Source organism: Homo sapiens, chromosome 2, assembly GCF_000001405.40.
Source record: "Homo sapiens chromosome 2, GRCh38.p14 Primary Assembly".
Classification (NCBI taxonomy): Eukaryota; Metazoa; Chordata; class Mammalia; order Primates; family Hominidae; genus Homo; species Homo sapiens.
Window position 1 is genome coordinate 169,874,077 of NC_000002.12, and position 13,834 is coordinate 169,887,910.

The following is a 13,834-nucleotide window of genomic DNA, read 5'->3' on the forward strand; positions in this document are numbered from 1 at the left end:
AAGATGATCTGCATGAATGTAGGTTCATGGAAGTTTCTTCCTTATATTACTACTTCTGTTCAGCATTAATTTCTGTCTGTGCAAAAAAAATTCTGCCTTTTTTTTTTTTGAGATGGAGTTTCGCTCTTATTGCCCAGGCTGGAGTGCAGTGGTGCGATGTCAGCTCACCGCAGCCTCCGCCTCCTGGGTTCAAGTGATTCTCCTGCCTCAGCCTCCCAAACAGCTGGAATTACAGGCGCCCACCACCACGCCCGGCTAATTTTTTGTATTTTTAGTAGAGATGGAGTTTTACTGTGTTGGCCAGGCTGGTCTCAAACTCCTGACCTCAGATGATCCACCGCCTTGGCCTCTGAAAGTGCTGGGACTACAGGTGTGAGCCATTGTGCCCAGCCAAAATTCTGCATTTTTGTGTAGAGATTACTGTTTAAAATTAAAGAAATTAAAGAAAGGTCTTGCAATAACCAATCCAAGGTAATGAAAACTCAGAGATCTTGTGGTTTCCCAATTTCTTTCAATTCTGTTTCTCATTCATCCAATAATCCTTATATCTGTGTTAGAGTTTGTTTCAGAGCCCTTGAAAACCAAGAGCAAACATTAATTAAACATCTACTATATTACTATATAAGTCACTGGGGAGAATATAAAGTTGAATAATATATAACATTAGCTTTACACTGAGAAAGTAGGTTTTGAGATTCTGAATAAATGTTGAATGAAATGGACATCCCCTTTCCTGGGCACACAGGTTCTCCATTACCTCTTTTATAGGTGTGGTTTTGTTCATTTGTTTGTTTTTGTTTTAAAAAAATTATGGTTAAGCTATACATCTCTTTATTCATTTCCTTCCTTTTAGACCTCGGCTTCTGTAAAACCTCTCTATATTTTTCGTCTTTAATATTCTTTTTCAGTTGTTGTCCAAGCTTTTCTTTCTCTCCATCTCTATTTGCCTGTTTTTTTTTTAGTTTTTAATACAATTATTCATATTTATGAAAAGTTATCTTTCACTTTAGTTGCTTTGACCTTCAGCTAACATGTATCTGTATTTTTGGAATATTATAGGGGATAGGTTATTTGTTATACAGGTTTAAATTTGACATAATACTCTTATACTACTCTCAATGTATTTGAATTATATCTTGTTTTATTCTAGGATGTGATCTAAACTTTTTCTTAAATACTATCTTTTTTTGAAATGATCTTATGATGACATTTATATATGTGGAAGTATAGGGCCCACAGATCAAATGCTGCTGCTTCTTTTTGTTGTTTTTGAGATGGGGTGTCACTCTGTTGCCCAGGCTGGAGTACAGTGGCATGATCTCAGTTCACTGCCACCTTCACCTCCAGGCTTAAGCCATCCTCCTGCCTCAGACTCCTGAGTAGCTGGGACTACAGGCGCGCACCACCACACTTGGTTAATTTTTTGTATTTAAATGCTTCTTACACAAATTAAGTGCTTCATATCTTAGGAGGTCATCTGTGTTTTTCCATCTACTGTTTTCCAAAGGACTGAATTCCTGAGCAAGTCTACCCTTGCTTGGCTAGGTGCTGGGCAGATACCAATTTCTAAACAGAGTTCTTGTATTGACTTTTTTGATTATAAAATACTATAATTTAAGCCATTATAATTTTAAAAGAATAAATACTGTTATTTTTAGTAAGATATTTTAAACAAAATTACCCTTATTTGATTTTTTTTCTTTTTTTCTTTTAGCAGCTGATGGACCATCAGAAAAGGACCTTAACAAAGTCCTTCAGCTTTTGGAACCTCAAATTTCCTTTTTAGAAGACCTGACTAAAATGGGAGGAGCAATGCGGTCTGTTCTTACTCAGGTTTTGACAAACCAACAAAACTACAAAGATCTGACTTCTGGTGAGTAAAATGTTAGAAGAAATTTATAGTTTTCATATCTTACTATAATGATAAGAAATTGAGTCTTTTAGAACTTAAAGGTAAATTGTAGAATTTTCATAGAATGCTAAAGCTGGAAGTTATTAAGAGAACTTCTTTTTTTTTTTTTTTTTGAGACGGAGTCTAGCTCTGTCGCCCAGGCTGGAGTGCAGTGGCGCAATCTCGGCTCACTGCAAGCTCCGCCTCCTGGGTTCACGCCATTCTGCCTCAGCCTCCCGAGTAGCTGGGACTACAGGCGCCCGCCACTACGCCCAGCTAATTTTTTGTATTTTTAGTAGAGGCGGGGTTTCACTGTGTTAGCCAGGATGGTCTCGATCTCCTGACCTCATGATCCGCCCGCCTTGGCCTTCCGAAGTGCTGGGATTACAGGCGTGAGCCACTGCGCCTGGCAAGAGAACTTCTTGTTTTATGGATGAGGAAATTGAGCCCTAGGAAAATGAAATGGCCTGTTTAAACCTCACAATTAATTTATGTTGGAGTTGGTACTGGAACCTAGGTCTCCTAACTTTTGGTGTGACATGATAATTATGCTCTGCCTCTCTTTATTGTATTGTATTGTATTGTATTGTATTGTATTGTATTTTTTTGAGACAGAGTCTTGCTCTGTTGCCCAGGCTGGAGTGCAGTGGCGTGATCTCAGCCCACTGCAACCTCTGCCTCCTGGGTTCAAGCGATTCTCCTGCCTCAGCCTCCCGAGTAGCTGGGATTACAGGTACCTGCCATCATGCCCAGCTAATTTTAATTTTTGTATTTTTGTAGAGACAGGGTTTTAACCATGTTGGCCAGGCTGGTCTTGAGCTCCTGACCTCGGGTGATCTGCCAGCCTTGGCCTCCTAAAGTGCTGAGATTACAGGCATGAGCCACCACGCCCGGCCCTACGTCTCTTTCTTTAAACGCAAGGCTGAGAAGTGATCCCCTTTCTTTAACAGTAACAACCATCATGTCTATGTTTTCACTTTTGATATTTTAAGTTTTTGTGTTGTATCGCCTAGGATTTTCTAATATACAGCTTAAGTTATAAAACTTGGAATTGTTGAATGGTGTATTGTTATACAAAACATTCATACGCCTTTCCCAAGCACTCTGCTTTCGATAACTGCATGCTTGGTATTACGAGAGCACAGACTGTCAAACCAGAAGGTGAATTCCGCTACATAATTATTATCTACCATATTACCTCTCTGACTTTCTTTACTGTAATTTTCAGGTTCCTTTAAAGTTCGGATCATGTCTTATTAATTCTTGTGCCCCACATTCCCTTGGATATTTTAGATGCCCACCTACTTTGTAGATTTCATTATTTGGTATAAACATGCTGTGTATTCTCGGATTGTTAGTGCTAAACATAAGCACAAAAGTGTTATTTGAAGCTATCTTATATTATTCATTCTAGGGCTCCCACTCCATTAGAATATTCACCTATTTATAGATACTAGTTAATGAAAAGACCATACTGAGATTTTGAATGGAATATTTTTTTCTGATTTGAAGTTTGTTTTAATTAGGTCTTGGAGAAAATGCTTGTGTAAAGAAAAGTCATGAAAAGTACCTTATAGCTTTAAAGAGCTCTGGACTTACATATCCTGAGGATAAGCTTGTATATGGTGTGCAGGAGCCATCTGCTGGTACTAGTTCTCTGGCTGTTCAAGGTTTGTCTAAATATTTAATTTGAACAGTTGTAACTTTTCTGTATTAAAACCAAAAAAACCTCTCAAACTTTACTCATTATTGAAAAAAATTATTTTGAACTAAAACAGTATTATTCTTTTTAAGAAAAGTAATAAAAGTAGTAAAAATTTAGAGGCAAAAAAGAATAGATTGACCAAAGAAGAGAATGCATTTTTCTTAAATGGAATTTGATTAGCTTATTAAGGTTCTGGTTCTAACTCATGAAAAATGTACAGTTGCTATTCAAGAGTAGCCCAAAACTTTACTGCCTCAATATTTTAGTAAACTATGGTTTAAAACTAAAAAGAGATCCTTCTGAAACACCATTTGTAATAACTGTATTAAATCTGAGTTTTCACTGGAGAATTCCTATTGAAGTATCAACCTATTAGGTCCAAACTTATTTGAGATAAATGTTGGAGGCTGGGCACGGAGGCTTATGCCTATAAATCCCAGCAGTTTGGGAGGCCGAGGTGGGTGGATCACCTGAGGTCGGGAGTTTTGAGGCCAAAATGGCCAACATGGTGAAACCTCGTCTTTACTAAAATACAAAAATTAGCTGGGCGTGCTGGCAGGCGCCTGTAAGCCCAGCTACTTGGGAAGCTGAGGCAGGAGAATTGCTTGAATCTGAGAAGTGGAGGTTGCAGTGAGGTGAGATTGCGCCACTGCACTCCAGCCTGAGCAACAGAGCGAGAATCCCGTCTCAAAAAAAAAAAAAAAAGTTGGACTTTGCCAAGATAACTGTTAGAATGAGGTGTCCTAACGTAACAAAACTTAGCTTTTTGATATTTGTATTTCTCAGAATAATTTGAAAATAAAGCAATATGTAGCAACTATGAAGGACAACTATTTTTCTTCTCCTCCAAAGGTTTCATAGGCGCAACAGGAACTTTGGGACAAGTGGATTCTTCAGATGAGGTGAGATTTAAAGTTCAAAACTTTTTAAAAAGTACAATTTTGTGCTTTTTTATACTTTTTTATTATTTTATACTTCTTTATAGTTCTGAAACTGTATAGATTTGTAGGCATTATGTAGTTTAAGTTTCTCATTCTATAGACAAGGACACTGAAGCCCATAATGGCTTCTGGGAAGCCTAGATCACACAATTACTTAGTGAGAGAACGAGGTGTGTAACTAGATTTTTACTTCTTGTTTATAATTCATTTTTCTTTTTCACAGTTTAAAAGTGGGTAGAAAGAGGTAGAGATTTCTCCTCAGAGGCTATCCCCAAATTTACCCGTATAGTTGTCATATGTACAATGAAATTATTTTTGAAAATTTCGCTAAGTTTAGGATAATTTATTAAAAGACTATGAAATGGAACTGTTTTTCTAATCGTATAATAAAGTTACATTTTACATGTCAGGGATTTTTTTTTAAAACTATGTACTGGGAAAAAGACCATCAATTTGAAATTTCAATTTTTATAGTGTTTATTAATAATAAATAGGAAAAATCATTGTTATATTTCTATATTTTATTACATAATTTATAAGAGAAAAATTGCTGTTATATTTGCTTATAATCTTGTTGCTTATTCAACTTAAATTTTATATTTCTAATACATTTAATTAAAATCTAAAAAATAAAATTACATTTAAACATATATATCTTTTTTCTTTTGGAAATTCATTTTGAGTTGATAATGTAATGTGAATTAAGCCAAATATACTCCTTTTAAAGGGATGATTTCTGTTGTGGAAGTCTTGTAATTGATTTAATACCTTAAAATTTAAATTTTATAGTTTTTCCCCTCTAAAAAGGCTTTCACACAATGTTACATTTTGTGGAGTCTCATTTTGGGCAATTTTCAAGAATTTTCATCAGATTGGAGAGGCAGTTTATTATGCTGTGTAGGAGTCTGACTCTGGAATTAGACTGCCTGGGTTTGACTTCTGGCTCCTTTACCTATTAGTAGTGTAACCTTGGGCAAGTGTCTTAACTTCTTCATGTCTACATTTCCTTATCTGTGAAATGGAGATAATAATAGTACTTATTTCATGAGAATATTATGAGGATTGAATGAGTTAACATATGTAAGCACTTACAGCCCTGGTGCCCAGCATATTGTAAACACTGTATGTGTGTTAGTTAAATAAAATAGAGTAATTTAAAAAACTTATGTAAATGGTTAGCTTATAAATTTTGCTTCTGTTTTGTAACAAAATAACTTCTGAGAATCATATTGTTACAATGACAAATGGGAAAAATTTTCTGATATTTAAAATAGACTTTCAAAAACATATAAACATTATTATTTTAACTAAACTGTAATAATTCCATTTTGAAGATAGGGGAGGGGAATGGTGGAAGTAAGACTGCTAATTCTTCGTATGCCAAAGAAGGAAGTAATTGGTAATACACATATAGTTTTAAACTGCTTATTTTGCTCTAAGAGCATTTTGTGGGGAGGTGGAATGGCCTATTAAAAGGCGAGTTCTCAGAGTAGGAGTTGACTATGAATGGGTGAATGAATGGGCACTTCTTTAGCTAAAGCCACCTGAGCAGGGGTCTTATATCTGTAGCCAGTAGGAACTTTAGACAACTATTGCATGATGAAATGGTTTGGTCATTGTTCAGAGCACTTTATTAAAATAAACATCTTGACTTGATTTAAAACAACAAAAATCTGTGGTCTTAAGTTTATATTTATGTGGTAGGTTAGAATTGTCATATTATTTTAGCATGCCTAGCATTATGTATCCAACAGGCTTGCTAACAATTCTACTTTATTTTCATGAATTGAATTTTATTTCTGGATATGTAAAAAGCTGATCTTCAACACAGATGCCTTCTCCTCTGTCTAGGACAGAAGTAACAATCATTTTTATCTTGGCCTGAACTCTCCAGATTAGCATTTGAATTTCCCGTGGAGACTTTCATTGTACACAACTGCATTGCAACAACATTCTATTTTATGGTTGGGTGCTAGAAGGACATCCTTGTGTGTGTGTTTGTGTGTGCACGTGTGTGTGTATTGAGGGGCTTTTGAATCTCTTCTAGAAGTAATTTCTAGATGATATCAGATAATTTTAAATATTGCCCCTTTTTTATTCATTACTATTGCTTCTAATCTGTCCTTTTTAGGTCCTCACTTCTGTTTCCCGCCTCCATCCTCAAGTAGGCCCCAGTGTCTGTTGTTTCTCCCTTTGTGTCGATATTTTCTCATTATTTATCTCCTACTTAAAGTGAGAATATATGGTATTTGGTTTTCTGTTCCTACATTAGTTGGCTAAGGATTATGGCCTCCTGCTCCATCCATGTTCATTTCTCTTAGATTCTGTTTCAGCAACTTCTGTGTGTAGTATGTTTTATGTAACCATTTGTTCCTTAATTATGATCATGTCTCAGTGTGAATATCATGGTAAATACTTTTTGATGTTAACAACTTTAAAATACTTTATTTCAGCCCCTAGTCTCTCATAATACATTGTTTTTGTTATAGCTGAGAAGATTTACTTTTAAAGCATGTGATGTATATTTAATACATTTAAGTAGTTTAGACCCTTTGACCTTTATTTTTTATTTATTTATTTTTTTGAGATAGAGTCTTGCTACATTGCTCAGGCTGGAGTGCAGTGGCATGATCTTGGCTCACTGCAACCTCCACCTCCCGGGTTCAAGCGATTCTCCTGCCTCAGCCTGCCGAGTAGCTGGGATTACAGGCATGCACTACCACGCCTGGCTAGTTTTGTATTTTTGGTAAAGATGGGGTTTCTCCATATTGGTCAGGCTGGTGTTGAACTCCTGACCTCAGGTGATCCGCCCACCTTGGCCTCCCAAAGTGCTGGGATTATAGGTATGAGCCACCGTGCCCAGCCCCAGAAAGCTAAACTTTTTATAGTTTATATATTGATCATATTTTCCAAAGGGATAAAAATAGGGTCATTTAGGCATTTGAAAACTTAAGAATTTGAAGTAGAGTTGTTTAGCCAGAGGTATCTACCGTATGTTTCTTTTTTTTTTTTTTGAGATAGGGTCTTGCTCTCTCAGGCTAGAGTGCAGTGATACTTTATATATATATATACACATATATACATATATAATTATATATGTATATGTATATTTATATTATATATTATATAATATATATTATATATTAATAAATTATATATAATATAATATATATGTATATTTATATTTATGTTATAATATACATATAATTATATATGTATGTATACATGTATACATATACGTATATGTGTATATGTATACATATAGGTATATGTGTACATGTATACATATAGGTATATGTATATGTATACATGTATACATATAATATAATTACATATGTATGTATACATACATATGTAATTATATTATATATGTATATGTATATTTATATAATATATAATATGTATTATATATTATACATGCATATTTATATGTATATTATATATACACATATAATATAATTATATATGTATGTATATATACACATATATATTTATATTATATATGTATATTATATACATATATTTATATTATATATGTATATATATTTATCATATTTATATGTAATATGCATGTGTAATAAATAATATACACATTTATATATGTATATTATATACATATATTTATATTGTATATGTATATATATTTATATATATTTGTATATCATATATTTATATATTGTATATTTATGTATATTATATATTTATATATTATATATGTATTATATAATATATATGTAAATATATATTATATATGTAAATATATATTATATATAAAAATATATATATATAAAATAAGGTGTTTGCTTTATGGTTTTAAACTTGTCAAGTCTTGAGTTAGAAAAGTCAGCTGGGTGTGGTGGCCCATAACTGTAATCCCAGCATTTTGGGAGGCCGAGGCGGGCAGATCACCTGAAGTCAGGAGTTTGACACCAGCCTGGCCAACATTGTGAAACCCCATCTCTACTGAAAATACAAAAATTAGCTGAACATGCTGGCACATGCATGTAATCCCAGCTACTCAGGGCACTGAGACAGGAGAACCCCTTGAACCTGGAGGCAGAAGTTGCAGAGCTGAGATTGCACCACTGCACTTCAGCCTGGGTGACAGAGTGAGACTCCATCTCAAAAAAAAGAAAAAAAAAAAGAAAAGTCATGTGATACAACAAAAACGAAATGAAAATTAGTGTCAAGCAATTCAAGGGTTATAAAAATTATGACTGCTTGAGCTAAAAGGGACTATATAATTCATCTTGTCTTTCTTATTTATGGATGAAAAAACTGAATTCCATAGAATTAACTGATTCACTCAGGCTAGTGAATGCCGTCTAGTTAGTGGTAGAGTTGAAATTGGGCACTAGTTCTTCTATCTGCTGGTCTAAGTGTTCTTTCTATAAAGTGGATAAACCATGATTGTCATTACTGTTGCTATGCAGCAAATTTGCCCAAAGCTTTATGTCTTAAAATTACCATTTTATTTTGCTCACAATTTTATGACTTAGGAACGTGAGAATGGCATCTGGGCAGTTCTTACTTTGGTCATCATATGTGGTTGCAGTTAGTTGTTGGCTGCAGCCATAGTCATCTGAGGGCTTCACACTGAGACGGAGATCTAAGATGGCTCACTCATAGGGCTGATAGTTGATGCTGACCATCCGAGAACTCAGCTGGTTGTTGATCAGTATGACGACATGTGGTTTCTCCAGCATGGTGGTCTCAAGTTGGACATCTTACATAGTAGTGACTTACTTCTCCCAGGCCAACAGCCCAAGAGTAGAAGCTGTAGAGCCTTTTCTGAGCTAGTCTTGGAAGGTATGTGGTGTCACTTCATCCTTTTTGTTATAAACGAGTTGCGAAAGTATGTCCAGATTCAGTGGGAGGTGATATAGATCCCACCTCTTGATGGGAAGAATGTCAGAGAATTTGTAAACATGTTTTAAAACTTCCACAACCAGGATATGACATTAGTCATTCTTTTCCCTGGATTCAGTTGATAATCCAATAGTGGGTAGTGATAATAGCTAAATAATGTACCAATAATTTCTTATAAATTTTCTATCTATTTTAGTGGCACTATCTCTTGGGAAAAAATACAACTGATAAAGTAATGCCATTTTAGCCAGTAATGGCTATTACAGAGTTTTAATGAAAATCAAAGCTTTCCTTAAGTATAGTAGTTACTATTGTACATCAAGAGAATAAAAACTTATATTTAGATTATAAGGTTATTTTATTTATTTTGAGACAGAGTCTTACTCTTTTGCCCAGGCTGGAGTGTAGTGGTGTGATCTTGGCTCACTGAACCTCTGCTTCCCAGGTTCAAGTGATTCTCCCGTCTCAGCCTCCCGACTAGCTGTGACTACAGGCGCGTGCCACCACACCCAGCTAATTTTTGTATTTTTAGTAGAGATGGGGTTTTGCCATGTTGGACAGGCTGGTCTTGAACTCCTGACCTCAGGTGATTCACCCACCTTGGCCTCCCAAAGTTCTGGGATTAGAGGCGTGAGCCACCGTGCCCAGCCTGTAAGGTATTTTGGAGAGCTGACTTTTTTTTTTTTTTTTTGAGACGGAGTCTTGCACTGTCGCCCAGGCTGGAGTACAGTGGCGTGATCTTGGCTCACTGCAAGTTCTGCCTCCCAGGTTCACGCCATTCTGCCTCAGCCTCCCGAGTAGCTGGGACTACAGGCACCCGCCACCACACCCGGCTAATTTTTTGTATTTTTAGTAGAGACGGGGTTTTTCCGTGTTAGCCAGGATGGTCTTGATCTCCTGACCTCGTAATCTGCCCTGGCCTCCCAAACTGCTGGGTTTACAGGCGTGAGCCATGGCTCCCAGCCAAGAGTTGACTTTTAACTTTGTAAAGCAGAAGAAAATATACTGAAATTTTATTAGTATTCATTGTAGGTTAAAGAACAAAATATATTTTTGAATTTAATTACTAATGAGGCTATGAAACTACTGTGACTCTTCCGCTAGTCTCTTTTTGGGGTTGTGTATCCTGTTTTAATCTGGTTTGTTTTTTGTTTATTAGTGGAAAACATTATTTTATTAGGACTAATGGCCTACATGGAATAAAAATTCTGTTGGTGGCTAGGCATCATAAGCAAGAAGCAATGTTAATTGAGTTTGCGCGATTTATTTGGAAAGAAAGATAAGAAGTTCCATCAACCCCTTTAAAAATGAATATGATTATTATTTAAAATTTGCTTTTACTTTTGTTCTTCTCAAAGTATTTTTTAACATATATTAAAATGGTCAAAATGCAATAATTATTATAGAATAGAATAGATTAAGGTGAAAATAGATGAAGGGATAAGATAGATGGAAAGAGGTTGATAGAGGAAGAGTACTTAAATATAGATGTTCTTGAACAAATAACTATTTTATGCCATTTAAATATTCATTAAGGCTTTTAATGTCATGTTGCATTTTACTTGGAACTGTAGGCACAAATGACATATTTGCTTTAGTATTTATATTTGAAATATAGTGAAGAGCTAGGTATGGCTTCAGGATTAGAATTTCTACACCATTACCTTATAGGCCCATGGGATTGTTAAGCAAACCCTTTTCATGATTTTATTGTTGTAATTTAAGATATCATAAAGGAAGATAGGATGAGAATAAATGGACAATGACATTTTAATTACTACTATAGAGTAGGAATTGTAACAATTAAAAGATATTTTGGCTGGGCGCAGTAGCTCATGCCTGTAATCCCAGCACTTTGGGAGGCCGAGGCGGGCGGATCACCTGAGGTTGGGAGTGCGAGACTAACCTGACCAACATGGAGAAACCCCATTTCTACTAAAAATACAAAATTAGCCAGGCGTGGTGGCACATGCCTGTAATCCTAGCTCCGGAGGTTGAGGCAGGAGGATCACTTGAACCTAGGAGGCGGAGCTTGAAGTAAACTGACATTGTGCCACTGCACTCCAGCGTGGGTGACAGAAGGAGACCCTGTCTCAAAACAGACAGAAAAAAAAAACAAAAAGAAAACATTTACATTTAGCCCTACCATCCAAAGATTATCACTGTTTATAAATTTTGCTTGTTTACTTTTCTTTTTTTCCTGTATACTCTTACATAATTGAGAAATAATCACTTTGCAAAATAAGTTACTGTGTAGATATGCTTTGAATATTCTTGTCTTTATTCAAGACACAATCCAAGTGAACAACAGCTTTCCAAAAATAATAGCAAAAGTAGGACAGTTGAAATAAAAAATCAGAGATACTTTTCATAAGTGAATAGGTAAAAGAAAAAAGGCTGGGTGCAGTGGCTCATGCCTGTAATTCCAGAACTTTGGGAGGCCGAGGTGGGCGATCCCTAGGTCAGGAGATCGAGATCAGCCTGGCCAATATGGTGAAACCCCGTCTCTACTAAAAATACAAAAATTAGCCCAGCATGATGGCACGCGTTTGTAGTCCCATCAACTGGGGAGGCTGAGGCAGGAGAATCGCTTGAACCCGGGAGGTGGAGGTTGAAGTGAGCCGAGATCGCGCCACTGCACCCCAGCCTGCGCGACAGAGTGAGACTCCGTCTCAAAAAAAAAAAAAAAAAGTTAATTTTACTTTTGGAGGCATAAGGTTTAATTTTAATTTGGTATCATAAATTACATTAATGGTAAGGGTAGGGCAGGGAATCACATAAACTGTTGGTGGGAAAGGCCTTAGAAATATTTAATGTATTTCTTTTCCAGTGCAGGAATTGATTTTACAACATTCCTGACAGTTGGTAAGCCTCTCCATAAATACTTCCAATCGTAGGGAGCTTACCTAGTTTATGAGGCAACTTATTCCCTTGATAGCTCTAATTATTAAATTCTTCTCAATATTGTGTTAAATATTGTAACTTTCGCATATTTCTTGTTTTGCCTTCTAGAAAGATTTTTATTTCCAGATGACACTTTTAAATATTTACTTTTAGATATTAATATTTTCTGTCGCGCATAGTTCTTTCTTTTCACTGTCTAGTAAACTCATTTTCTTTTAAAATCTATGTCCTCATTTAGTGCACAGTGATGGGACATCTTTTGATAAGCATACCGTGTCTTCATTAAGGCCCAAAGCTTTTTGTTATTTTTTTAGCAGCTATCCTAAATTGTTGGCAGGAGCCACAGAGGTCAAACAAAATGCCCAACATTTCCCCCTGGGCCCCACCTTACAGCTGACAAGTTAGAACTCCCTTGTAGTGTTATACTTGTGAAGTTGATTTAAAGCAAACAGTCTGATTATAGGGGCTTACATAAATCTTCAAGTTTCATCTTATTGTTATAGTCTTAAGATCTTTGTATTTCATTTTTGTAAGGTGACATATTAAATATTCCTTCTAGCCCTGTGTAGTCTGTGTTAATATTCTTTGAGTATTGTTGTAACCAGCTGTGAATTTACCTGACTTCTTTTTATGAAGCTCACATTTATGAAAAAATGTGATGAAAACTGTCTAGAAAATCCATCAAAAAAAAGAAAGGTTAATTTAGGTTGAGAAACCATCTGTAGATTTTGCAGATTGGGAGTTTGAATCTGTTTTTCTTGGATTTTCTTGTCTCATGTCTTCTTGTTTCTTTCCAAAATGTTTTGGACCTGTGTCCATATTTTGTGCCTGAAACACATGTAGCAATAGTGCCTACTTCCATGCTCAGGGTCTATTTAAGGTCTGAAAAGTTCCTGAGGGCTGTACAAATGCTGTCTGGGTTGAGATTGTATTTGATTTATTTCCTCTTGTCAGTTGGACCATCATCTTCTCTTAGGATCCTATACTGCTTCCTCAGGGACAAATGAACCTTAGCTCCACATCATGAATTTGGAGGAATGGGAAATTGTGGTTATGATAACTGTTTTGTTTTCGTTTTCCTTAATGCCTGAATTCTCTACTTTTGGGAGTTATTTCTGTTTGTTAACAGTACTGTACTTTCTAAAAATAAAAATATAGAACTTATAACTGATAATATAGTAATCTGTTATTGTTGGAACAAGTAGTATTGGAAATCAGACTTGTATTTTAAAAAGATGTTTATTAACTTAAAACTACAATCCATATTCATTGTTGAATAAGTAGAAAATAAATATTAACAAAAAGATAACATTACCTAAATCTCTATCACTTAGTGGTGACTCACTGTAAACCTCTGACATTCTTTATTTTTAAATTTTTTTCTTTTTCTTTCTTTCTTTTTTTTTTGAGACGGAGTTTTGCTCTTGTTGCCCAGGCTGGAGTGCAATGGCACGATCTTGGCTCACTGCAACCTCCCCCTCCCGGGTTCAACCTATTCTCCTGCCTTAGCCTCCCGAGTAGCTG

The 13,834-nt window shown here is 35.5% G+C and overlaps 1 protein-coding gene across 1 annotated transcript in view; it reads left to right on the plus strand.

Moving 5' to 3' along the window:
- UBR3 (ubiquitin protein ligase E3 component n-recognin 3) overlaps positions 1-13,834 on the plus strand; it is a 256,678-nt gene that overhangs the window by 46,623 nt on the left and 196,221 nt on the right. The window contains exons 3-5 of the mRNA NM_172070.4: positions 1,715-1,873; positions 3,418-3,561; positions 4,449-4,498. Of these exons, the coding sequence (NP_742067.3) occupies positions 1,715-1,873; positions 3,418-3,561; positions 4,449-4,498 (353 nt within the window). The remainder of the gene's footprint in view (positions 1-1,714; positions 1,874-3,417; positions 3,562-4,448; positions 4,499-13,834) is intronic.